Raw genomic sequence first — 25,319 nt, 5'->3', positions numbered from 1 at the left:
CATGGCGAATTTTCTAAGCCATCATTATCTCCATATGTTCATGAACCTGAATTATGCTTGATTTGAGCTTCGAATTGAAGAATGCCTTGAGATTGTTTAATCAGAATTCTAGGAATGTGGAAAATTTAAAAATCATTAGATCATAATGGGAAAATTTTTGTCTATGAAAATTTTTACCAAATATAAAAGAAAGGAAATGATAGACAATATGACTGAATAAAGAGGCAAATTGTAAAAATAAGTCTAAGTGACTAGCAATTCAAAAAATTTATCTTGTTTTGTAGTTTAAAAATTAAAAAATGACATTTGTACATACTTAATTGAAGTAACATATAACATTACAAAGAACTTCAAGACTTTGTTTCCTAATATGGGTGCAAGAAGCATCACAAGAGAAGCAGGAATATAAAAATAATCTTTAGCTGAGTAAGAATTTTCTGTCATTTTTGCATTTAAAGCAAAAGAAGGAAGGGACAAGTAAAATGAATACCTATATAATTTCATATCAAGGTTCAAATAAGAAAGATGCTGATTGATTTTTGATGCTTACAATTTTATAATTTTAACTTTTCATTTTACTATTGAAAACCAACAGCTTCTGAGCAACTTTTGAAATTATTATATTACAATTTGAGATTGCAAGAGGAAATTTTTTTTTTCAGTCTTCAAAAACAAGTCCTCAGTTTAGAGAAGGAAATTTAGAGAAGGAAATTGAGGGTAGTCCATTCCCTTGTGTGTTTTCTTTTGAGACACACCCTGCATTACATTTAGCCTCTCTAAAAAGCTTTGAATGTGAACAACTGTAGGGTGAGGACTTGTCCCGGAAACTCTTTTTTTTTTTTAATATTTATTATACTTTAAGTTCTAGGGTACATGTGCAAAACGTGTAGGTTTGATACACAGGTATACCTGTGTCATGCTGGTTTGCTGCACCCATCAACTCGTCATTTACATTAGGTATTTCTCCTAATGTTATCCCTCCCCCAGCCCCCCACCCCCCAAAAGGCCCCAGTGTCTGATGTTCCCTTCCCTGTGTCCAAGTGTTCTCATCGTTCAATTTCCACCTATGAGTGAGAACATGCGGTGTTTCATTTTCTGTCCTTGTAATATTTTGCTGAGAATGATGGTTTCCAGCTTCATCCATGTCCCTGCAAAGGACATGAACTCATCCTTTTTTATGGCTGCATAGTATTCCATGGTGTATATGTGCCACATTATCTTAATCCAGACTATCATTGATGGGCATTTGGGTTGGTTCCAAGTCTTTGCTATTGTGAATAGTGCTGCAATAAATATATGTGTGCATGTGTCTTTAAAGTAGCATGATTTATAATCCTTTAGGTATATACCCAGTAATGGGATTGCTGGGTCAAATGGTATTTCTAGTTCTAGATCCTTGAGGAATCCTGGCTCTACTTTGCATAGATTATTCCATGATGCCAAGCAAAACACAGTTAGGAGAAATCCTGGTAGTAGAAATTCTTTATAATTCTGAGAGTCTGTAGTTTATTTTTTTATCTGAAGGGCTAAGGGTTTTAGAATTTGTATTCCATAGAATTCTTACCCTTTGATGCACAAAAGTTTATTATAGTTTCCAAACTTTATTTGGATAACCCTATTTCAAACAAAATTTAGTAGAACTTTTGTATAATAATAGCTAACAATTATTTAGAGCTTACCATGTGTCAGACTGTTCACAAAGCATTTGACACTGGCTATCTCATTTCATCTCATACAAATTCTGTGATGTAGGTAATGCTATTATCCCAATTTTACAGATAGAGAAACTGAAGCAGGAGGATTAATTAACTTGCCACATAATAGAAATGAGTTGGTTTAGTTGCGGCCTGCAGTTTGGGCTGCTCAGTCATGGGAGCTGGTCCTAAAGCCCTTGGTGAGAAAACCATGATGAAGAAAGAAGTGCACAGGCCAAGAAGTCACCGTGCCTGATTTGATCAGAGAACCTGTGAGCCAGCTCAGGGAATTTAGTCTATTTTTTCCCCCCTAGAGACAGGGTCTCACTCTGTCACCTAGCCTGGAGCACAGTGGCTAGATATAGCTCACTGCAGCCTCAAACTCGTAGGTTCAAGTGATCCTCCTGCCTCAGCCTCCTGAGTAGCTGGGTCTATAGGTGAGTGCCACCATACCTGGCTAGTTTATTTTTTGTAGAGACAGTCTTACTGTGTTGCCCGGGCTAGTCTCAGGCTCTTGGCCTCACATGATCTTCCCACCTTGACCTCCTGAAGTGATGGTAACAGGTGTGAGCCACCATGCCAGGCCTCTCAGAGTCATTTTTAGGGAAAATGCAGATGATTACTATTCTTATGCACTTCCAGAAGTGCCATGGTGGCACCTGATTTGATCTACCTAAAAGTACTTTTTTAAGTGCTTGGAGACTAGGTACCCCACAGGTATCACTTTCACTGGGAGTCATATGTAAACCCACTGACATTTCTATATTCCAAAGCTCAAGTTGCCTCGGTTCTTCCTTTTTAAGAACAAGCAGTACTCTGTGACACCCTGTGAGCAACTTTTCATACCACAGTATATCCCATACATAGGAAATCCTCCAGTTTCATAGTTGGCAATTCTCCATCTACCCTGCCTGGCTACAAAGGTGTCAAAGGTGTGGCAGTCATAGATCCATTGACATGTGTGCTTTTTGCTAAAACTTTGTTTGGTGGGTTCCCCTAGCTCCCACAGTCTACCACATTATAGTGGATATAAGAGGATTACTCCAGGTAAGGGATATTCAGAATGAATGCCCCTGAAATAGGGAGAATCCATGTAGTAGTATAACATTTGTTGGAAGGGTTGATTATCAAACAACACAAGTGTTTCCATGTGATAGACAGAATTCTGACAGTTGTAGATGTAATAGCAGCTAATAGAATCATCTTGAAGTAGATGTAATCATTATCCCCTCATCATATGAAGCAAATGAAGCATTGAAAATTAAAGAGCTTGCCCAAGTTTTGATTGTAAGTGATGCCTCCAATCTGGGGCCCAGAATCCATTCCACCTCTTGTTTGTAGGTCTTAAAAACAATGAATTTGAGATTCCTAATAAGCAAGTAACCATTCATGCACTCTACCCATGTTTACTGAATGCCCAAGAATGTCATGCACGATGCTAAGAACTAGAGACAATGCTAATTATTAGGGATTCAAATATGAAAGTGATATAGTTTCTGTCCTCAAGGACTTTATAGTGTAATGAAGGGAAACATAAGTAAATGGGTACTATAAAACATAAGGGAAACATAAGTAAATGGATGATTGTAAGTATAAGTACTGTCATATAGCTATTAAGTATAACATCCATGGCATATGTTAGATGAACTGAAAGGGACAATGAATCTATACTGGGGTCAACAGAGAAGGCTGAAGGAATGTACCTAACCTGAGCCTTAGAGGAGAAACAGTAGTTAGCATTGTGGGGAATGGAAGGGCATTCCAGGCAGAGAGGGTAATATGAGGAAAGAGGGAGCGTGTAGTTGAATGTGCAGGGAAAGTTTGTGCAGAATGGCTAAATCACTGGATTGGATTATAGAGTAGGGAGCTGAATGGCAATAGATGGAACTGGAGAGGTAGACAGAACCAGGTCATGGAGGGCCTCATGCACAAAATAATAGGTGGTTGGACTTCCTCATATAGGTAATGGAGAGCCATGTTCAAGACACACACCCAAGGGAAAAGTATTTGGATTAGATTTTGAAGAAGGATATGGGATGGGGTTCAGGGTGGGCAAATGGAGACTAGGCTAGTTAGTTGAGACCACTTTGCTTAGAATGATGAGAGGGCAATCTAATGTAGTACAAGGAAGGAAGGGAGGAGAGGAAACTGTTTAGAACAGGGTTTCTGCACATTTCGGGCCACATATTTCTTAGTGGTGAAGGGCTGTCCTGTGCACTGTAGGGGCACTGTAGGATGTTTAGTAGCATCTTCAGCCTCCATCCACTAGATGCCAAGAGCAGACCCTCCTCCAGTTGTGATCACCAAAAATGTCTCCTGCATGGCAAAATTACCCCCATTTGAGATCTACTGGTTTAGACACACTGGTATTAAAACAGAATCAATTGGATTTGGATGTATGGAGAAGGTGGAAAATCACAGTCAAGGTTAACTTTAGGGTTTCTGTATTGACAAAATAAGTGAGAAACAGATGAGAGAACAGGTTTGATCTTTGAACAAATTAAATTTGAGATACTTGTGGGATATCCTAAAAAGAGATCCAAGAGATAGCTGGATAGATGGACCTGTGCTCAGAGAATTCTCAGCTGGAGATACAGATTTGGGGATTATTTGCATATGGATGGAAAAAAATACCATAGGGGTGAATGAGTTCACTGAGGGAGACTCATGAAGTAGAAGTAAGAAGAGAACCAGGCAGGAACTCTACGGACAACCAAGAGTTAAGGGTGATAGAGCATTGTTTAAATCACAGTTTAATTCTTGCCAATGAAAGGGAAAAGAGAAGTATGTATCACTATGTCATTTTTAATCAGTAATGAAGACCTTGGTATCCCATGACTCAAATAGAAGGTAAGATCTCTTAAAAAAATGTGTGGGAGTAATCGGGGAAATACTCACAAGATGGTCAGTCTTAAATGCAGTATTTGTTGAATTTATTTTTCCCTGTGCTTTCAGTGCAAAACTAAACAAAACCTTAAAAAGCCTCATAGTTTCAGTGTGGTGAATGAATACCTAGAAATGCAAGGTTAAATTGAAAAACCCATTATATATTTATTAGCAGTGTTTCACTACCTTGTCATCAATGTTCAAAAACAGTACTGCAATGGAAAGCTCAAGGGAAATGCAGGAGCTTTATATAAAGACATATTCTTTAGCCTCTGATAAGGTTCTACAGTGATAATTCTGGAAAAAGTAAAATGTCATGAAGCAATGAACAAAAAGAGCTTACAGGATAGAAAGCAAACCAATAACAAGAACTAGTATCATTTTTGGCAGGCAGGTCAGTGAAGTAGGAAGATAATTTCCTACCGGCGACATGATTTCCATGAAGCTAATTGCCTACAATGCCAATTATGGTGAGAAGCCTTAGACTAGGGCAATCGCGACCTGTGAGAAAGGAATTCAATACTGAAAATACCAGATGCTTTGGGTAAATAAGTGATTACCTGAATATAAGTTAGATACCCTTGTGAGAAACATTAACTCTTCAGGCCAACAACGTACCACCAGAGGTCCACTCCCAAATAACGCTCTGTGTCTTCCAAAGGGCCTTACGACCAAACCAGCACACCTATCCAAAACGCAGCTTCCACACACCGTGGCTCTGTGTGTTGAAAGGAAGACAAACTGAATGAAGTTCATAAAATAACTTCCCCATCTCACTCATTTGTCAGAGGGAATATCTGCCAGTATTCTCTGCAATACAGGACCCATACTTACCCGATTTCTACAGGGAGCTCTGGACTGCCTTCCTGATTCCAGCCTCTGTCAACCTTTTCTCTCCCTCCCTTTGCCAACATTAAAAAAGAAGTTAACAAATGGATCTAATTACCACAGTGGTTTGAGGCTTCTCAACGTTTTTTTTTTTTTCCCTTCCAGCTGTAAAGATGTCCTCAGACTGAGCTTCACATTCAGAACTGCTGTCAAACTCTCACTTTAATGGGCACTTAAATTTAATGTCAAGCTGATGCCTATGGAAGACCTTGATTAAATTTGCAAAGAGTAGACTCTAACTGAAACAGAACTTTAGAGTTGTCTCATTTCGCCTTTCAAGCTTAAATCCCAGAAGTTTTCTTCTCTTCTTTGTAAAGAATTACAGAAGTTTGCTTGCAAAGACCCTGAGTATCAATAAGACAGCAAAGTGTAACAAGCAAAACACCCGGCATGTTTTTAGAGAGAGAAGAAATCCCTTAGCTTATTAAAATTCTATGTGAATTAAAGATCTTTCCCATTGCTTTATTCCATTCCCAGCTCATTTGAAATCTATAGCTATTCACTTTTATGACTCTATAATATTATAAGCAGTCCTAAAAAGTTTACTTAAAACCTTCCTAGTGTTCTTTTATGCACATGGCAATTAAGTTTTTTACTGTATGGACAGAGTGAAAAACATTATGGAAAAACAACTTGAAAGAAATATGACAGAATTTCTCCTAACAATGTCATTGCTTCAACCAGCTACAAATTTCCAACCTAGTTTCTTTCTTTTGCTGTTTCTTCTTTTGTCTTTGATACAATCATACAGCCTCTCTTCCTTGAAGAGATAATAAAAGACTAACAGTTAAAAGATCTGGAAGACTCATAATCTTTTTCACTGGCTACGGTTTTGAAAAGAGGCTGTTGGCTTTTGATTTTTTCTTTTGGGTTCTTTACATCACCCAGATCAAACAGGTCTGCTCTCAAAGAAAACAAATCAAAATTGTCAAGACCTGTGAAGCGTGAAAAATAAATTGCTTTTTCCAACTCCAAAAAGCACCAGAAAAGCATTAATTTTGATCTTCTTTTATAAACCTCTATCCCCTATCCTCTAATCTATAGATTTCACAGAATGTTTATATATTCTTCTGTATAATACATGACAGGAGATCAAACCTTATTATGAATAAATTGAGTTGAACCTGTAATACAACTAATATTTAAACTAGTGTTATTTTGGAGTTCAATTAGACACATATAAAACATTCAAGTAAGATGACACAAATTCCTGGGGCTGCCAGTATAAAATAAACAGTCCAGTAAGCTGCATCTACCATGCCATTAATGACTCTGTCCTTTTAGCTGGTGGGAGCACAGGCTTCATAAAAGAAGGAGAACATGAAGCAGTAGAAAAAGACAGCCTTGCAAAATGCTGCCAGATACAAAACATTCTATCAGAAAATTTCTCATTGAACTACAGTGGCAAGAGTGCTTCTAATATCTCCCTTTTAACACAACGAAGACCTACATTTCTATGCTCGGCTTTCTAAAGCTAACTTAATTCTGTGGTTAAAACAGCTCCAGGTAGCACTTGTTCTTCTTATTATTTTTTTTTAAAGGACTTGTGGTTTTGCAGTCCATGGATAAAGTGGTAGGCAATCATCAGATTCCTGTTGAGAACAACAAATGATGAAGGGAGTAGCAGATGGTTTCAGAAGGCAGAGATTTATAGGGGTAATTTGTAGTGGAATAATACTATTTTCTGAACTAGGTAATAATAATTCACCAAGACAAGTAAAAGTTTAGATAGTATCTCCTTTAATTATATGTTGCTAAATATTCCAAGAAATCTTTGACTCAGAAGCCTAAAATGAAAACTCAATTAGTTGACATTTTTAGTTTCTGATGATCTGATCCTGTTTAATCCTTTTCATCGTGATGCAGTTTATCACGATTAAAAATACGGTCCTGCTAACAGTCTAGTTTTCTGAATACAATGTGCTCTTTTCAATTTAGTTAGTATCTGATTCAAAAGGATAAAAGTATCCCTCTTTACCAGGAAAAGAAGACAGAAATAGACTAATACTTTTCACACATTACAAGGTAATAGATGAGGAAGAACTATGTTTCAAACAGGGTTTCCTGAGCACCCCAAATCCTATTGGTGAGTGAGTAGAGCCCCAGGAGGAAATCACTATTTAGATGAGGGTATCCACAATGGCATTGCTCCACAAGGCATACGTGCCAGGGATCATCAACTTCACCTTACTCCCTTGACAAACGCAGGCAGAGAGAACAGGGCATTGATCTCGTATGTCTGTAATCATCCACAACATTTATTAAATTCCATTGCTGGCACTGAAACGAGGGGGTTACTATAAGTATCACTATTCATTGCTGAAGTTAATTAATTTACCAAATCTATTTGGTAATTCACAGCAACTACAGAAGTAATAAGGTATGGAAGTTAGAGGGTAAAATAAACACTTTATTTTATATGTACAATCTTCTTGCTTGGTAATTGTCTATTCTTCATGAACCTGTCCCCAGAGTAATGGCAGCAGATAAGACGTGCCATTATTTTACATAATAAAATATCCCTATTATTCCTTAATAAATATAACTGGCTATACTTTATTTTAATTCCCAAGTCACAGTTCACTCAGGAGAGTCTGGTGCCTGATGTAGAATAACCACAAATAGGTCAACTCTTAAAAAAAGTTAAAGAAAAGTTTAAAATCTTCATTAGTGATCAGCAGTGTGTTGGATACTCCAAATTACCACTTTAAAACTGAAGTAATATCCAATCTGTTACGACATAAGACTCTCCCAATTATACGCAGACACTGTCATGTACACTTTGATATTTATTAACAAAAATGGTCCAGAAAAGGATTGAGTCAAAATTACAAAATGATTAAGAGTTAAAACAAAAGTTGTTCTTTATTGTAGTTTCTGGGGGACTTTAACCAGTCCCCAAAGGTGTTTTTATCTCCTAAAATAGGACTTGAATGACATCACTCAAGTGACAGATTTTAATAGAAACTCTTCCTCTTTCCTTCTGTCAAAGCAAAATATAGTGAAAGTCTCGTTACCTCAAACCTGCTTTCCTAATAAGTGTGCATGCCTGTAGATGGATTGGGATGCAGTGAAGAGAGAAGTTAAACAAAAAGGTTAAAAAAAGAAAGGCCAGGCACAGTGGCTCACAACTGTAATCCCAGCACTCTGGGAGGCTGAGGTGTGAGGATCGCTTGAGCCCAGCAGTCTGAGATCTGCCTGGGCAACATAGGGAGACCCCCCCTCTACAAAAAAAATTGAAAAAAAATAGCTGGATATGGGGTGCACACCTGTGGTCCCAACTACTTGGGAGGCTGAGGTAGGAGGATCACTTGAGCTGGGAAGGTTGAGGCTGCAATCAGCTGTAATTGTGTCACAATTACACAACAGAGTGCAACACTTTTTCAACAACAAAGGCAAAATCTTAAAAACAGGAAACAGGCTATTGAGGAAAAAGGGTTACAAAACTGCCTAAGAATCTTCACTAAAGTAATCCTCTAGTCCTTCCATATCCATTTCCAGAGAGGAATTTAAAGAGGCCAGAGCAGATGATGCATCCTTGGTTTTCTGGACACTTGGTTTGGGTTGAGGAGTTTCTGGTTGGATAGATTCCTTCTTTATGTCTTTACCACCATTTAGAATACGTTGGCTCTCACAAAAGAAATGATTAGGATGATTCAAAGAAAAGCCACAATCACCCACCTGTAAAGGAAGGAAATTTATATTGCATTAATACATGGCAAAGCTATAAATATATGAGTTTCAAAAGCTGTTTTAGTACTTGTTTAAAACTTAATACCTGAAACATGGATTCTAGCTGTTTGCATTCTAACGCTTAATCAGCTACTTACACCATTTCATTCAAAGAGAGCTTCAACCACTACCCAAACCTAAATGGCTCCCACATTTATATTTCTAGTCTGAGCCTCTGTGTTTGGCTCCAGTTCCCTATCTAGTTTCAGTCCCATATCCAACACCTACTCAACATCTAAGATGGCTCAAAGGCAGCTCAAACCCAACAGGAAACGTATCCTTTCCCCTCTCCCCATCCTTTGCTCTCAGTGACTGGTATCACCATTCATCCTTGGGGCATACTAGACACCTTTCTCTCACCTCCCCAGCCCCCAACTCCCACCTGCCACCTCCCATCTACACCAAGCCCTCAATTCTGGCAATACCCAAAACATTACCAATTCTGCTTGACAATTACGTCAAAACAAAAAATTAGAAAACTATAAAAATATGTTTGGAATACAAACCTGTGTGTGTGTGTGTGTGTATGTGTGTGAATGACATTGTATATTAGGCACAGGTTAGGGACCTGTGTGATTCATTATTGTATCCCCAGTTCCAAGCAAAAGGCCTACCACATTGTAGGCCAATAAATATTTGTGGGTTTTTAAGTGATCGTAAAATCATTTTTGATCATTTTGATACTGGTCCCTGATACCACTTGTGTTTTAGAGCTGACTTGTAAGTCTGGCATGTGCACTCATTTAGTATGATATAAACTGAAAAAGCAACCTAAGTCAATGTAATTGTTCATTCTAATCTTGGCCTTTCCTTGGTCTTTTTACAGAAAATCTCTTCTTGTAAATTTCACTGTGACCGAATACAAACATGCCTGGTTCATAACTTATGTTATTTTTTCTCAAATACTATCATTAAACTTTAGTTTTGAGTATCATTTCAAATTATGCACTCTAGTAATCTCTCCTTATATTCAGTTTCACTTCCCACAGTCTCAAATCCCTGCCTTCTCGCCTTCTGCAGTTGGAGTTGACAACAAAAATATCATTTTGCTTGAGTGAGTGACTGTTGGTTTCTTTGGTGGTATTTTCATTTATCAAGTTTTTGGAAACTGAGAAGTGATTCCATTTCTTTTGTTCATCTGTCTTGTATTAACTAATCCTTTTACGTCTCACCCTTCGTACTGAAGTGACTTGCACACTGTAGGTATCTAATAAATATTTGGTGAAGTGAACCCAGAAATAGTGTATACCAGTGATAATTTTGCATATTTAATTAAAGCCTTACTATATAAAAGACTGTGTTATAAACTATTCGCTATTCAGCATACAGGAATACATTTGACTAACTCAAATTTCCAACCCAGTAAGTCAGACTTAAAAACCTCTACCAAGAATGGAGAACTGATGAGGGTCACAGATAAAGGCCTATTACACTCCACAGTAAAGAGAAATTTCGGCTAAGGAGATCAAGGAAGGCTTTGTAAGAGGAGTGCTATTTGAGTTGCGTCTGGAAAGATGGAGAGAGTGAAAAGCTGGGATGATGAGGGGAAAGGCAATATTTGCAGCAGGACCACATGAGCAAGGTAAAGAGGGAATGTCCTGGGAAAGCAAATATTAAATAGTTCACATAGCCTACTATGAAAGGCACATACAAGGAAACAATAAGGAATGAGGTTGGAAAGACAGGCAGGGGCCAGCCTGAGAGAGCCTTGAAAATCAGGGTAAGTGGTCAAGACCTAATTCTCTAGGCAACAGAGTCACCAAAAACCCTTAAAAAGAGACGTGGTGTGATTAAAGCTATGTATAATCTTATAGTAGATTAAAATGAATTGGCCAGGGAAAAAGGGGTTGCTGCCATGGTCTAGAATGAACCCTATTGGTGGACGGACCAACAGACAGAAACATGAGTCTTTTCTGGTAATACTTATTTAAGCACCCTAGGAATCTCTGATTCTCTTTTGCTAGTTGTTAATATATGTTAGGGTAATTTTATAGTAATTCCAGTGTGTAACAGATGGATAGTATACAGACTGATTTTAAGAGTTATAGATCATTAAGAACAAATTTTTATCTTTGCTTTATTTTTTTAACTTAGCTGCTTGATTTCAAAATGTTTCTGAAATGTTTTATATTTATAATTTTTATTAACAATGGAATCATTTATGAACTTTTTTATTATGAACTTTTTTATTACATTCAATTTTCACCCAACTCATTAAAAACTGGGAAATCCAATATAATTTTGCATTTTGCAATGTGTTTCACAAAAAGTATGCTTATTGTCTAATACATTTTAATCAGAAGGCTTTATAGTTTGTAAAATAGTTTGTAAACAGAAAATCAGAGATTAGAAAGACCTTGGGGAATCCATTAAATTCAATCTCCTCCATGTACAGAGGCCTAAGGAGAATAGATAGTTTATTCAAGGTCATAGAATTAGTAACTGGTTTTGTCTGAATTAAAATTCAGGCCTTCTGACTAGATCATTAGTTGCTCTGAAATCTGTTTTAAGAGATTGTATGCAAAATCATACTGATAATGATATCTCCATTATAAATTTTATTTCTAGAGATAAACTTGGCTACAAAGATTATAAAAACATAGTTGTATTATTTCATGCAAAAATAACCTAGTATCTTATGCTATAATAATATCTTGGCATTTTCTGTACCTCGCTTCAAGTTGTCAGTTATCAATACATTTATTAGACTTCAATGTGCACAAAATCTTTTTAAAGTCTGAGTTTCTCCATCTATGAAATGGAGATAACAGTGTTAGGTCATAGGGTTGCTACGAGAAAAGTAAATAAAAATGAATGTAAATAAAAAGAGTTGTTCTATGAAATCTAAATAAAATGTTTTTAAAGAGTCAAGAAAAGCAAGTCACTTAAAAAAAAAGGTGGAAGTCACAGAAGGAGAGGGAGAAAGATCCTATTGCTTTGCATATATCAAGTTCCTTTTCTACTTTAAGGAATCCAAACTGGAAATTGCTGATGCTGTATTATGGGTATAGTTTATAAAAGAAAGATAAAATCAAATTCCAAACACTAAACGATACTCAAAAGACCCTGCTCTAACTAATAAATGGCATTTAAATATCTTAACTTTAAGATATAATATTTAAGGTATGTGCATATCATTAATGAATCCTCATTTTAATTAATATTTTTAAAATTATACTTAAAGTTCTGGAGTCCATGTGCAGAAAATGCAGGTTACATAGGTATACACATGCCATGGTGGTTTGCTGTGCCCACCAACCTGTTATTTACATTAGGGACTTCTACTAATGCCATCTCTCCCCTAGCACCCCACCCCCCCAAAACAGGCCCTGGTGTGTGATATTTCCCTCCCTGTGTCCATGTGTTCTCATTGTTCAACTCCCACTTATGAGTGAGAACATGCAGTGTTTGGTTTCTGTTCTTGTGTTAGTTTGCTGAGAATGATGGTTTCCAGCTTCTTCCATGTCCCTGCAAAGGACATGAACTCATCCTTTTTAATGGCTGCATAGTATTCCATGGTGTATATGTGCCACATATTCTTTACCCAGTCTATCATTGGTGGGCATTTGGGTTGGTTCCAAGTCTTTGCTATTGTGAACAATGCCACAATAAACATACGTGTGCATGTGTCTTTAGAGTAGCATGATGTATAATCCTTTGGGTACAACCCAGTAATGGGATTGCTGGGTCAAATGATATTTCTGGTTCTAGATCCTTGAGGAATCGCCACACTGTCTTCCACAATGGTTGAACTAATTTACACTCCCACCAACAGTGGAAAAGCATTCCTATTTCTCCACATCCTCTCCAGCATCTGTTGTTTCCTGACTTTTTAAGGATTATCATTCTAACTGGCATGAGATGGTATCTCATTGCAGTTTTGATTTGCATTTCTCTGATGACCAGTGATGATGAGCATTTTTTCATGTTTGTTGGCCACATAAATGTCTTCTTTTGTGAAGTGTCTGTTCATATCCTTCGCCCACTTTTTGATGGGATTGTTTATTTCTTTTAAATTTGTTTAAGTTCTTTGTAGATTCTGGATATTAGCCCTTTGTCAGATGGATAGATTGCAAAAATTTTCTCCCATTCTGTAGGTTGCCTGTTCACTCTGATGATAGTTTCTTTTGCTGTGCAAAAGCTCTTTAGTTTAATTAGATCTCATTTATCAATTTTGGCTTCTGTTGCCGTTGCTTTTGGTGTTTTAGTCATGAAGTCTTTGCCCATGCCTATGTCCTGATTGGTTTTGCCTAGGTTTTCTTCTAGGGTTTTTATGGTTTTAGGTCTTACGTTTAAGTCTTTAATCCAACTTGAGTTAATTTTTGTATAAGTTGTAAGGAAGGGGTCCAGTTTCAGTTTTCTGCATATGGCTAGCCAGTTTTCTCAAAACTATTTATTAAATAGAGAATCTTTTCCCCATTGATTGTTTTTGTCAGGTTTGTCAACAATCAGAAGGTTATAGATCTGTGGCATTATTTCTGGGGCCTCTGTTCTGTTCCATTGGTCTATATATCTGTTTTGGTACCAGTACCATGCTGTTGTGGTTACTGTAGCCTTGTAGTATAGTTTGAAGTTAGGTAGCGTGATGCCTCTAGCGTTGTTGTTTTTTTTTTTTTTTTTTGCTTAGGATTGTCTTGGCTATGTGGGCTCTTTTTTGGTTCCATATGAAATTTAAAGTAGTTTTTTTCTAATTCTGTGTAGAAAGTCAATGGTAGCTTGATGGGCATAGCATTGAATCTGTAAATTACTTTGCGCATTATGGCCATTTTCACGATATTGATTCTTCCTATCCATGAGCATGGAATGTTTTCCCATTTGTTTGTGTCCTCTCTTATTTCCTTGAGCAGTGGTTTGTAGTTCTCCTTCAAGAGGTCCTTCATATCCCTTGGAAGTTGTATTGCTAGGTATTTTATTCTCTTTGTAGCAGTTGTGAATGGAAGTTCACTCATGATTTGGGTCTCTGTCTATTAGTGGTGTATAGGAATGCTTATGATTTTGCACAGAGATTTTGTATCCTGAGACTTTGCTGAAGTTGCTGATCAGCTTGTGAAGTTTTTGGGCTGAGATAACGGGGTTTTCTAAATGTAGAATCATGTCATCTGCAAACAGAGACAATTTGACTCCCTCTCTTCCTATTTGAATACCTTTTGTTTCTTTCTCTTGCCTGATTGCCCTGGCTAGAACTTCCAATGTTGTGTTGAATAGGAGTGGTGAGAGACGGCATCCTTGTCTTGTGCCGGTTTTCAAAGGGAATGCTTCCAGTTTTTGCCCATTCAGTATGATATTGGCTGTGGGTTTGTCAAAAAATAGCTCTTACTATTTTGAGATATGTGCCATCAATACCTAGTTTATTGAGAGTTTTTAGCATGAAGGGATGTTGAATTTTGTTGAAGGCCTTTTCTGTATCTATTGAGATAATCATGTGGTTTTTGTCATTGGTTCTGTTTATGCACTGGATTATGTTTATTGATTTGTGTATGTTGAACCAGCCTTGCATCCCAGGGATGAAGCTGACTTGATCATGGTAGATAAGCTTTTTGATGTGCTGCTGGATTCAGTTTGCCAGTATTTTATTGAGGATTTTTTGCATCGATGTTCACCAGGGATATTGGCCAGAAATTTTCTTTTTTTGTTGTGTCTCTGCCAGGTTTCAGAATCAGGATGATGCTGGCCTCATAAAATGAGTTAGAGAGGACTCCCTCTTTTTCTGTTGTTTAGAATCGTTTCAGAAAGAATGGTACCAGCTCTGCTTTGTACCTCTGGTGGAATTTGTCTGTGAATCTGTCTGGTTCTGGGCTTTTTTTTGGTTGATAGGCTATTACTGCCTCAATTTCAGAACTTGTTATTAGTCTATTCAGGGATTTGACTTCTTCCTGGTTTAGTCTTGGGAAGGTGTATGTGTCCAGAAATGTATCCATTTCTTCTAAACTTTCTAGTTTATTTGTGTAGAGGTGTTTAGAGTATTCTCTGATGGTAGTTTGTATTTCTGTGGGATCAGTGGTGATATCGCCTTTATCATTTTTTATTGCATCTATTTGATTCTTCTCTCTTTTCTTCTTTGTTAGTCTGGCTAGCAGTCTATTTTTTTGATCTTTTCAAAAAACCAGCTTCTGGATTCATTGATTTTTTGAAGGGTTTTTTGTGTCTCTATCTCCTTCATTTCTACTCAGATCTTAGTTATTTCTTGCCATCTGGTAGCTTTTGAATTTGTGTGCTCTTGCTTCTCTAGTTCTTTTAATTGTGATGCTAGGGTGTCGACTTTAGATCTTTCTTGCTTTCTCTTGTGGGCATTTAGGGCTATAAATTTCCCTCTAAACACTGCTTTAGCTATGTCCCAGAGATTCTGGTACGTTGTGTCTTTGTTCTCAATGGTTTCAAGAACTTATTTATTTCTGCCTTAATTTTATTATTTACCCTGTAGTAATTCAGGAGAACACTGTTCAGTTTCCATGTAGTTGTGCGGTTTTGAGTGAGTTTCTTAATCTTGAGTTCTAATTTGATTGCACTGTGGTCTGAGAGACTGTTTGTTAAGATTTCCATTCTTTTGCATATGCTGAGGAGTGTTTTACTTCTAATTATGTGGTCAATTTTAGAATAAGTGCAATGTGGTGCTGAGAAGAATGTATATTCTGTAGATTTGGGGTGGAGAGTTCTGTAGATGTCTATTAGGTCCACTTGGTCCAGAGCTGAGTTGAAGTCCAGAATATCCTTGTTAATCTTCTGTCTCGTTGATCTAATATTGACAGTGGGGTGTTAAAGTCTTCCACTATTATTGTGCTTGAGTGTACGTCTCTTTGTACATCTCTAAGAACTCGCTTTATGAATCTGGGCACTCCTGTATTGGGTGTATATATATTTAGGATAGTTAGCTCTTCTTTTTGCATTGATCCCTTTACCATTATGTAATGCCCTTCTCTCTTTTGATCTTTGTTGGTTTTAAGTCTGTTTTATCAGAGACTAGGATTGCAATCCCTGCTTTTTTTTTTTTTTTTTTTTTTTTTGCTTTCTGTTTGCTTGGTAAATATTCCTCCATCCCTTTATTTTGAGCCTATGTGTGTCTTTGCCTGTGAGATGGTCTCCTGAATACAGCACACTGATGGGTCTTGACTCTTCATCCAATTTGCCAGTCTGTGTCTTTTAACTGGGGCATTTAGCCTCTTTACATTTCAAGTTAATACTGTTATGTGTGAATCTGACCCTGTCCTTATGATGCTAGCTGGTTATTTTGCCCATTAGTTGATGCAATTTCTTTATAGTGTTGATAGTCTTTAGAATTTGATATGTTTTTGCAGTTGCTGGTACCAGTTGTTCCTTTCCATGTTTAGCGCCTCCATTAGGAGCTCTTGTAAGGCAGGCCTAGTAGTGACAAAATCTCTCAGCATTTGCTTGTCTGTAAAGGATTTTATTTCTCCTTTGCTTATGAAGGTTAGTTTGGCTGCACATGAAATTCTGGGTTGAAAATTCTTTTCTTTAAGAATGTTGTATATTGGCTCCCACTCTATTCTGGCTTGTAGGGTTTCTGCAGAGAGATCTGCTGTTAGTCTGATGGGTTTCCCTTTGTGGGTAACCTGACCTTTCCCTCTGGCTGCCCTTAACATTTTTTCCTTCATTTCAACCTTGGCGAATCTGACAATTATGTGTCTCAGGGTTGTTCTTCTCGAGGAGCATCTTTGTGATGTTCTCTGCATTTCCTGAATTTGAATGTTGGCCTGTCTTGCTAGGTTGGGGAAGTTCTCCTGGATTATATCCTGAAGTGTTTTCCAACTTGGTTCCATTCTCCCGGTCACTTTCAGGTACACCAATCAAACATAGGTTTGGTCTTTTCACATTGTCCCATATTTCTTGGAGGCTTTGTTCATTCCTTTTCATTCTTTTTTCTCTAATCTTGTCTTCTTGCTTTATTTCATTAAGTTAATCTTCAATCTCTGATATCTGTTCTTCCACTTGATCAATTTGGCTATGGATACTTGTGTATGCTTCATGAAGTTCTCTTGCTGTGTTATTCAGTTCCATCAGGTCATTTATGTTCTCTAAACTGGTTATTCTAGTTAGCATTTCCTCTAACTTTTTTTCAATGGTTCTTAGCTTCCTTGCCTTGGGTTAGAACATGCTCCTTTAGCTCGGAGGAAGTTGTTATTACCCACCTTCTGAAGCCTACTTCTGGCAATTTGTCAAACTCATTCTCCATCCAGTTTTATTCCCTTGCTGGTGAGGAGTTGTGATCCTTTGGAGGAGAAGAGATATTCTGGTTTTTGGAATTTTCAGCCTTTTTGCGCTGGTTTCTCCCAGTCTTTGTGGATTTATCTACCTTTGGTCTTTGATGTTGGTGAACTTTGCATGGGGTTTCTGAGTAGATGTCCTTTTTATTGATGTTGAAGGTATTCCTTTCTGTTTGTTAATTTTCCTTCTGACAGTTAGACCCCTCTGCTGCAGGTCTGCTGGAGTTTGTTGGAGGTCCACTCCAGACCCTGTTTGCCTGTGTATCACCAGTGGAGGCTGCAGAACAGCAAAGATTGCACCCTGTTCCTTCCTCTGGAAGCTTCGTCCCGGAGGGGCACCCACCAGATGCCAGCCGGAGCTCTCCTGTATGAGGTGTCTGTCGGCCCCTGCTGGGAGGTGTCTCCCAGTCAGGAGACATGGTGGTCAGGGACCCACTTGAGGAGGCAGTCCCTTAACAGAGCTCAAATGCTATGCTGGGAGATCTGCTGCTCTCTTTAGAGCTGGCAGGCAGGAACGTTTAAGTCTGCTGAAGCTGCACCCACAGCTGCCCCTTCCCACATGTGCTCCATCCCAGGGAGATGGGGATTTTATCTATAAGCCCCTGACTGGGGCTGCTGCCTTTTTTTCAGAGATAATTAATCTTTTTTTATTAACCACTAAAACAGTGCCAAGGGCCTTGAAGTGAGGATTTGTGCCATGGCTCTGTGATGCTGTTTCTCCTTTTTCTTGATCTGCAATTGTCCTTAACTCATTTTGTGAAGCTCTTTGTGATCTACTAAGTTGCTTGATAGCAAAATGAAATGATGAAGTTTCCTTTTTATAGAATTCTATTTTCTTCCAGGATGAGTTCTTTGTGTTCTGTTTCTTTCACTTTCATTTTTAAAGGAAGTGCATATGGCTGTTTCCTTTTGTCTTGTTTAGGAAAATAAACTTAGGGGGTTTTTTTGTATGTGGGGGGAAGGGGAAGAGTATAAACTAAACAGAATGGAAATCTTCACTTTAAAATTAAATTAGGAAAAGGAATAGAGAAATAGAGGTATCTACATCTAAATCCTCCATTTCACTTATTTCTTCTCAAGTCAGCAGCTATTTCCTTTACTCTGTTTGGAAATATTAAGTGAGCATTTTCATGACTTTGTCTACTGTGACTCTTTTGTTTCTTTCCTTGCCTGTTTTCTTTTTTGGTTACTATTGCTGATGTTTTTCTTTGTGGTTGATGATTTAAAAAAAATTGTGTTTTGTGCATTATTTTATGTATTGAGATGGGAAAATTCTGTGAAGCATTTGCATTCTACCACACTAGCTTGGTCCTACTGTTTCAGGTCCAAAGTCCTGTAAAGGATCTGAAACAAATTTAGGAGTCTAGAGGAAGGTGGGTGGAGTGGAGGCCTTTAGAGGATACATTATACATTTTAGATTTCATCTTAAGAGAAATAGGAAGCCATTGAAGTTTTTAAAAAGCAGGTTCCTGAAATGATCAGATTTCTCTGTTTTAAAGGTCACTCCAGCAGCTGTGTGGAGGAGAAAGAATTGGAATGGGGCATGTGTAGATGCTGGGAAACGAGTTAGGAAGCTATTGCAGTGATCCAAGTGAGATGATGGTGGCTTCTAGTCCAGCATTCTAACTGATATCCATAATGATGACCCTGAGTTATTATAAAAGGGCTTAATTGTATCACATATATCCTGTTTAAGATTTCAGGAAAATGTGTGATAGGTTTTAATAAGATTTCTCTAGAGATTTATATGGTGGGGAAAAATTATGCTCAGCCATTTGGAAAATAAGTACCCACAGTTACTCAGTGTCCAAAGAGGTCTACCTCTGAAAACATTATTTTCTATTAAAATTCTGTGGTTAATCTACACATGACCTAGTGTTTTCATTTATACATGGAACATGCAGAAAGTAAAGACTATACTATTAGTATAAAATTATTTTAAACATTGACCCTAAAAATACAGAGGAAAACAGGTTTCAAGCAGGCCAGCTTTTAACATCTACTAAATAAATCTCTCTCAAACATTTGCTTGGAATCAGCACATTCTGCACACAATGACCTTCACACAAACATGGGTCTCATATTTCTGCCACTGCAAATGTAGATTTTGAAGGAATGAAAGCAATATTGTTTTACCTATGGGATATTTGGGTTTTAATCAAGAGGTTTTGCAATGACAGCTTATAATGAGGCAGCTGGTATTACCAAAAAAGCCATATGGAACTATCATAGTGCTGCTGCAAATGGTATCAATTAACTGGTTTATTTTCAAAACTTCCATTTAAGTAAGTTTGATCACAGAGGCCTCGGGAAAATAAACATAGGATTTTATTTGGGGGAGGGGTAGGATGGCAGAAACCTGACAATAAAAATAGATTCTATTTTTAAATTAAATTAGAAAAAATATAAATGAAGGAGGATATTCACATCTAAAAGTCCACAGTGAGAGATCTAGTGAATACAAACAGCCTTTTTATTTTGTTGATTTAAGTGTGGTTTAAGTTGACTATTTTTATATGTGAGGGGATTTAGATATATGTCTTTCCAAAATCTTCATTAATCTAAAACAAGTTTTAAAAATTGGCAATAGTGGCAATACTTGAGGGAATAATCAATAGGAGAGATATTACAAAAGCAGATTTGAGAAATAAAAACCACTCCTTACTTTTTGGTGATTATGCCACAAACTCAATGTTTAAATCTAATTTTCATATCTTATTTTTATAAAAAGAGGTTGGATAATAGACTTCACTTGTGAAAATTCTGAGGCCTCTTAATTAAAAGCATCCACAAATGATTAAAGAACAATAGGAAATTAAAACTCTCAAGCGGAGCAACCAAATTAAAGAATGCAGTCTCCGAGAGAGTGACTCATATAAACCTGGTGTTGCCAAACATGGCTTATCTGGCGAGATTCCTAGTGTGATAAAACTAATGAGATTTTGTTGTTGCTATTTTCTTGATGTTTACTCCTTGAGTTTTGTTTTAAAAAAAGCTTTTAAATAAGAATAATACTTTCAAAAGTTAGGTATAGAAGAGTGAGGACAGGACCCACAACAGACTGGGGCTCTAGCTCCAGATCTTCCATTAATCAATTACAGCATGTAAGGCAAGTTAGAGTCCCTACCTGTTTACCATGCTATGAAGATAAACAGGAAAATGCCAATTACCTCTGCTGTCATTATCACAAATTTAGTACCAAATATCATAGAACAGTACAGTCATAGTTATGCTAACAAGCTTTAGATGAGTTAGACAGCTTGAATTTAAATCTAAGTTCTATCCCCTATAAGTAGTGTGACCCCACACAGATTGTTTAACTTCTCTAAGTTTTATTCACAGACAGGGAAATATACATATAGTATCTTGCTGTCATGTCAATCAAAAGAGCTAATGCATTCAAAAATTTTAGTGCTGTGCCTGGTATACATTAAGGCAGGGGTTCCCAACCCAGTCCGCGGCCCGTTAGGAATTGGGCCTCACAGCAGGAGGTGAGCAGTGGGTGAGTGAGTGGAGCTTCATCTGTATTTACAGCCACTCCCCATCACTTGCATCACTGCCTGAGTTCCACCTCCTGTCAGATCAGCAGTGGCCTTAGATTCTCATGCGGGTGTGAACCCTATTGTGAACCCCGCATGCAAGGGATCTAGGTTGCGTGTTTCTCGTGATTATCTAATGTGCCCTCCCACCAGCCCCTGTTTAACCATGGAAAAATTGTCTTCCATGAAACTGGTCCCTGGTGCCAAAAAGGTTGGGGACCGCTGCATTAAGGGTTCCATAGATATTGGCTGGTATTACTATTATTATTTTAATTATTATTGGTAATATTATAAAATATCTTTTTCCTATGAGATATTTTATCAAGTTAGAAATTCTGCAATTATATAACCATAATAGAAAAACTACTTTGTAACAACCAAATAAAAAACATAAAAATAATTGTAAAACTTTAGCATGGTAGCTGATGATGATTTCAACAAACGCAACTTCCTTTTTGGGAGGGTCATGGATCTTTAATAAATAACATGGACTATGGAAAAATACACATATGTACTTAGAGACAAAATGTTTCAAGAAGTACAAGGATCTCCAAAGTCCGTTCTTGGATGTCTTTCCCAGGTTAGAAATCCAGGCTCAGGATCAGTGGATGCAAACTAGGGCCAGAGGACTGAATTGGACTTGGAGATGTGTTTTGTTGGCCTGCAGAGGGCCTCACAATTTGTCAATGTGAATGCCTCTAATAGGGCAAACATGTTTAGTGCACCATAATTCTGCTATACTCTGTGGTACTAATCTCAGGCAGCTTCACTTTTTTGGGCTATATGCCCAATCTCTGTAGGCCTCTGAGTTTGTGACATTGGCTTTACACACTTCAAAATCTATTCTGTGCCAGACTGGGTCATCCCACTCTTACTCTAATAATCAAGCAGGCTTTTTTGTACTAAGGAAGCTGGCAAGATAAAAACCAAACACATTTCCCTGACTCGTGTATAGTTAGGGGTCCACATGCAATCTAGGTTTTGCCATGCAGATAAGTATGAGACTTGGGAAGTGGATTACAGTAACATCAGGTGGCAGCCACAAGTACAAGGATCAGATTTTCTGCATGGAAGATGGCAAAAGCCTTGGTTCTTCTAGGCAGCTGTGGCAAAGATTCCAGATCTAGTCTAGAGGTTGGCAAATCAAGGCCTGTGGGTCAAACTGGGTCTACTACCTAATTTTATCAATAGAGTTCTATTGGATCAACAGTCATACCTGTTCATTTGCATATTTTCTACAGCTGCTTTTGCACTACAACAGTAGAGTTGAGTAGCTGTGACGCAGACCATATGGACCATGAAGCCTACAATTTTTACACTCTGGCTCTTTACAGAAAAACTTTATTGACCCTTGGGCTCATCCCTAGATATGGAGTGGTGGGTGACAGCTGTAGTAAAGATTTTCTCATGAGGTAGCTTCTCCTAGTTACAAAATATTCCTGGTTCTGCAGCATCCAAGCTTAGTTGTCTGGTCGTTCAATAAATGCTGTAAGTTACTTAATACCATGCAATCCCCTTTTCTGCTGAAAATAGCTAGAGTGGTTTCCATTGCTGCAACTAAAAACCCTGAATGTGACACAGTAACAAAAGACAAATAATTAGGATATAAAGTTAAAAAAATACTTACATTGTGTATCATCTCAAAGTATTTTTGACAGGCTACCTGGTAATGTGTCCCCTTTACTAAATCCAAAATCTAAAATGAATGAGGAAAAAGACAAATAAAAATTAGAAATTAAGTTTTCTTCTAAACCACTGTAGCTCACAGCTGTTGGCCTTTTCATAATCTTCATTCCAGACAGGAAATGCAATAAATCATGTAGCATGTTGTACTTCTGCAGCCTGGACACTGTGATAATTCTGACATTATACAGTAGTGGTTTAGGTCAGCATTAAACCACAGATGACAAGAGATAGTGATCTTTCTGACCTACCAACTGTACATTTTTGTAACTTTACCTCAACAGCAAGATGAAAATGGATCCTGGTATGATGACTTTGACAGTTATTGTCAGAACATCATATTGCAACATCTCTCCAAAAACTGTAGATAGAAATCTAGTAATCTAATGGTTGGTGCATGAAGCAATCAAGTATACTGTTTAGATATTTATTTTCCACGTTAATGGTTTATACAGATACAGCATAAAATACTGCTGTGTGCCCATCAGGAAAATTTAATGTAAACCCTTTTGGACAAGTATCTGTGAAGAGGGAATGCTTTTACCTTCAGTCAGATTTGTCCTTTTTGAAATGAAGTTATTTCTAGCAAAGCTCAGCAGAATATGAGAGTGAATAGCCTATTCTGAACACCTATTAGGAACATCATCCTATCTTTTGTAAATACAATTTGCTTTCCAACTCTACTTCATGTAATCTCTTCAGAGCGGTGCAAACTCCCATCCTTATCAGCAGACTGCAATGCCAGTTGAAATTTGTAAAGTTTCATTGCCTCCCCCAAGCCCTCAAATAAATAAAACACATATTTGGCCTATTTATCAAATGCAGTAAAATGCTGGAATTAAGAGATAACCTCAAATGAATGGAAACATAATTCTGGAGAAATGTTAATTTCTATTCCTTTTTTATGTTTTAAAAGGCTGATCTTCCTGTCACAAAAAGAAATGAACATGGGGTCTCAAATTCTTGCTATCCTCATTATTGAATATAGCTTAATGTCATTTGACAGATACACACAAAAAAATTACAGTTACAGAACAGGCATTATACAATACTGACAAGAATGTGCTTCAAAAATTGCTTTTCTGATTGTCTTATAGATTACATTTCTGAATTTCGTGTCACCTTTTATTAAATCATATATGAAAGACCTGTATAAATGCCAGCCAACCACAGAGGCCAGATTTCTGCCAGTCTGCCTATCTGGCCTGTCTACTTCTCTTGAATTATTAGAGCAAAATATAAAAAATCAACTTAAAATGAGATTTTTTCATTTTTAAATTTATTTTGCAAGTTTTCCAAGTAACGCTAACACTGAGTTCATGTTGTCTGATGCTCTTCATACATATTTTCAAATTGTGATGAGATAAACTTGCAAATAATTACTGACAAACATCTATAATAATATATTAATATCTGAATTAGAATTTTGGAGAAGTGAAGACTTCAAACATAAATTTAAGCTTTAGATGATCCCATAAATTACCTGAAGAAGAAATGGATTCACAGAAATAAAAAAGCTCAACCATATAAAAAGTAAATATGTAACATGATATACATACATACATACAATCTAGTATGTATATGTTTGGGAAACATGCTATGAAGAAATAATAAATCATATTAATAAAAATTTTAGTTGGGTAATCCACATGTGTAAAAAACTTACTAAAGAAAACTGACATAAAAGCCACAGAATGTGAGAAAAACAGATGTATTGCAAATTTTAGGTTCAATTTTTAGGGTCCATAAAAAAATTAAATTTAAATTAATCACACTACAATCTTCCCCTGACCAGACCCCACTCGCAGAGAGGGCTCTTCCTTAACAAAAATAATTTACTTTTATTTTTGTTTTATTCTATTAGGATGAATTTTTATTTAAAATCTGCTGCAAATCTATAAACAAGTCATTCAACTATGATCAGGATAGCTTAAAGAACTTTAATCATGTCCCAGCATATTTGAGATAGATGAAGGTTTCTATAAATAAGTAAAGGTGTGATGAGAAAAAAAGGCAATAGAGGTTTTTGAGGTAAACAAGTATTATTGGTAGATACTTTTATCTTCACTTCAGAAATGAGGAAATATATTAAAATTGGAGTATCTGTCTCCTGAGGGTGAGGGCCATTAACCGCAGAAAGAATTTTAAAAATCACATACAAATTAATAATCTTTCTTTTAAAGGAAGATAACTTACATGCTTTTAAAATTAAGGTAGAAAACATAAAACATTACTCCAAAAAATCCAACTAATGAATATATAGTTTCATTTCAGATTATGATCTATAATACAGAGATATAGGAAAAGAAAAGATGGACCAAGGAATGAAGTTTGACTTTTTCTCTGAGTAAAATGGGGAGCTAATACAATATTCTATGTGCAGGACTAAAGTGAACTGACATTTACAGAGGGTTCATTTTTGCCTGCTGTGCTGGGAACAGATTGGAAAGGACAGAGGTAGAAACAGGGAGCTCATTACAGGAATTCAGGGAATAGATGGTAGATCCATGGACCAGGGTGGCAATATTAGTGGCGATGGTAAGTGGTCAGATTTGGAAACAGGAGCATTTCCCACTTAATGGCTATAAAATATTTCTAAAATCAGATGTTCTGCATGAAAATACTCAAGAGGAACCTGTCCTCCAATGTCTTAAAATAATGCATGAGCTACCACTCAA

At 37.1% G+C, this 25,319-nt stretch overlaps 1 pseudogene, besides 1 other annotated feature; it reads right to left on the bottom strand.

Annotated features, from left to right (window-relative positions):
- Positions 4,539-5,738: an enhancer, noted in NCBI's record as "CDK7 strongly-dependent group 2 enhancer chr6:57515883-57517082 (GRCh37/hg19 assembly coordinates)". NCBI's record gives its function as "activates an origin of replication core promoter dependent on BRD2, BRD4, P300/CBP, MED14 and CDK7 cofactors, with strong dependence on CDK7, by STARR-seq in HCT116 cells {active_cell/tissue: HCT116}" and the evidence as "EXISTENCE:reporter gene assay evidence [ECO:0000049][PMID:35650434]".
- Positions 8,245-25,319, bottom strand: part of PRIM2BP (primase 2B, pseudogene) — a 264,192-nt pseudogene continuing 247,117 nt past the window's right edge.

This window comes from Homo sapiens, chromosome 6, assembly GCF_000001405.40.
Source record: "Homo sapiens chromosome 6, GRCh38.p14 Primary Assembly".
In the NCBI taxonomy this organism is placed as follows: Eukaryota; Metazoa; Chordata; class Mammalia; order Primates; family Hominidae; genus Homo; species Homo sapiens.
The sequence above is the reverse complement of the archived record's forward strand: the minus strand, read 5'-3'. Positions and strand labels throughout refer to the sequence as shown.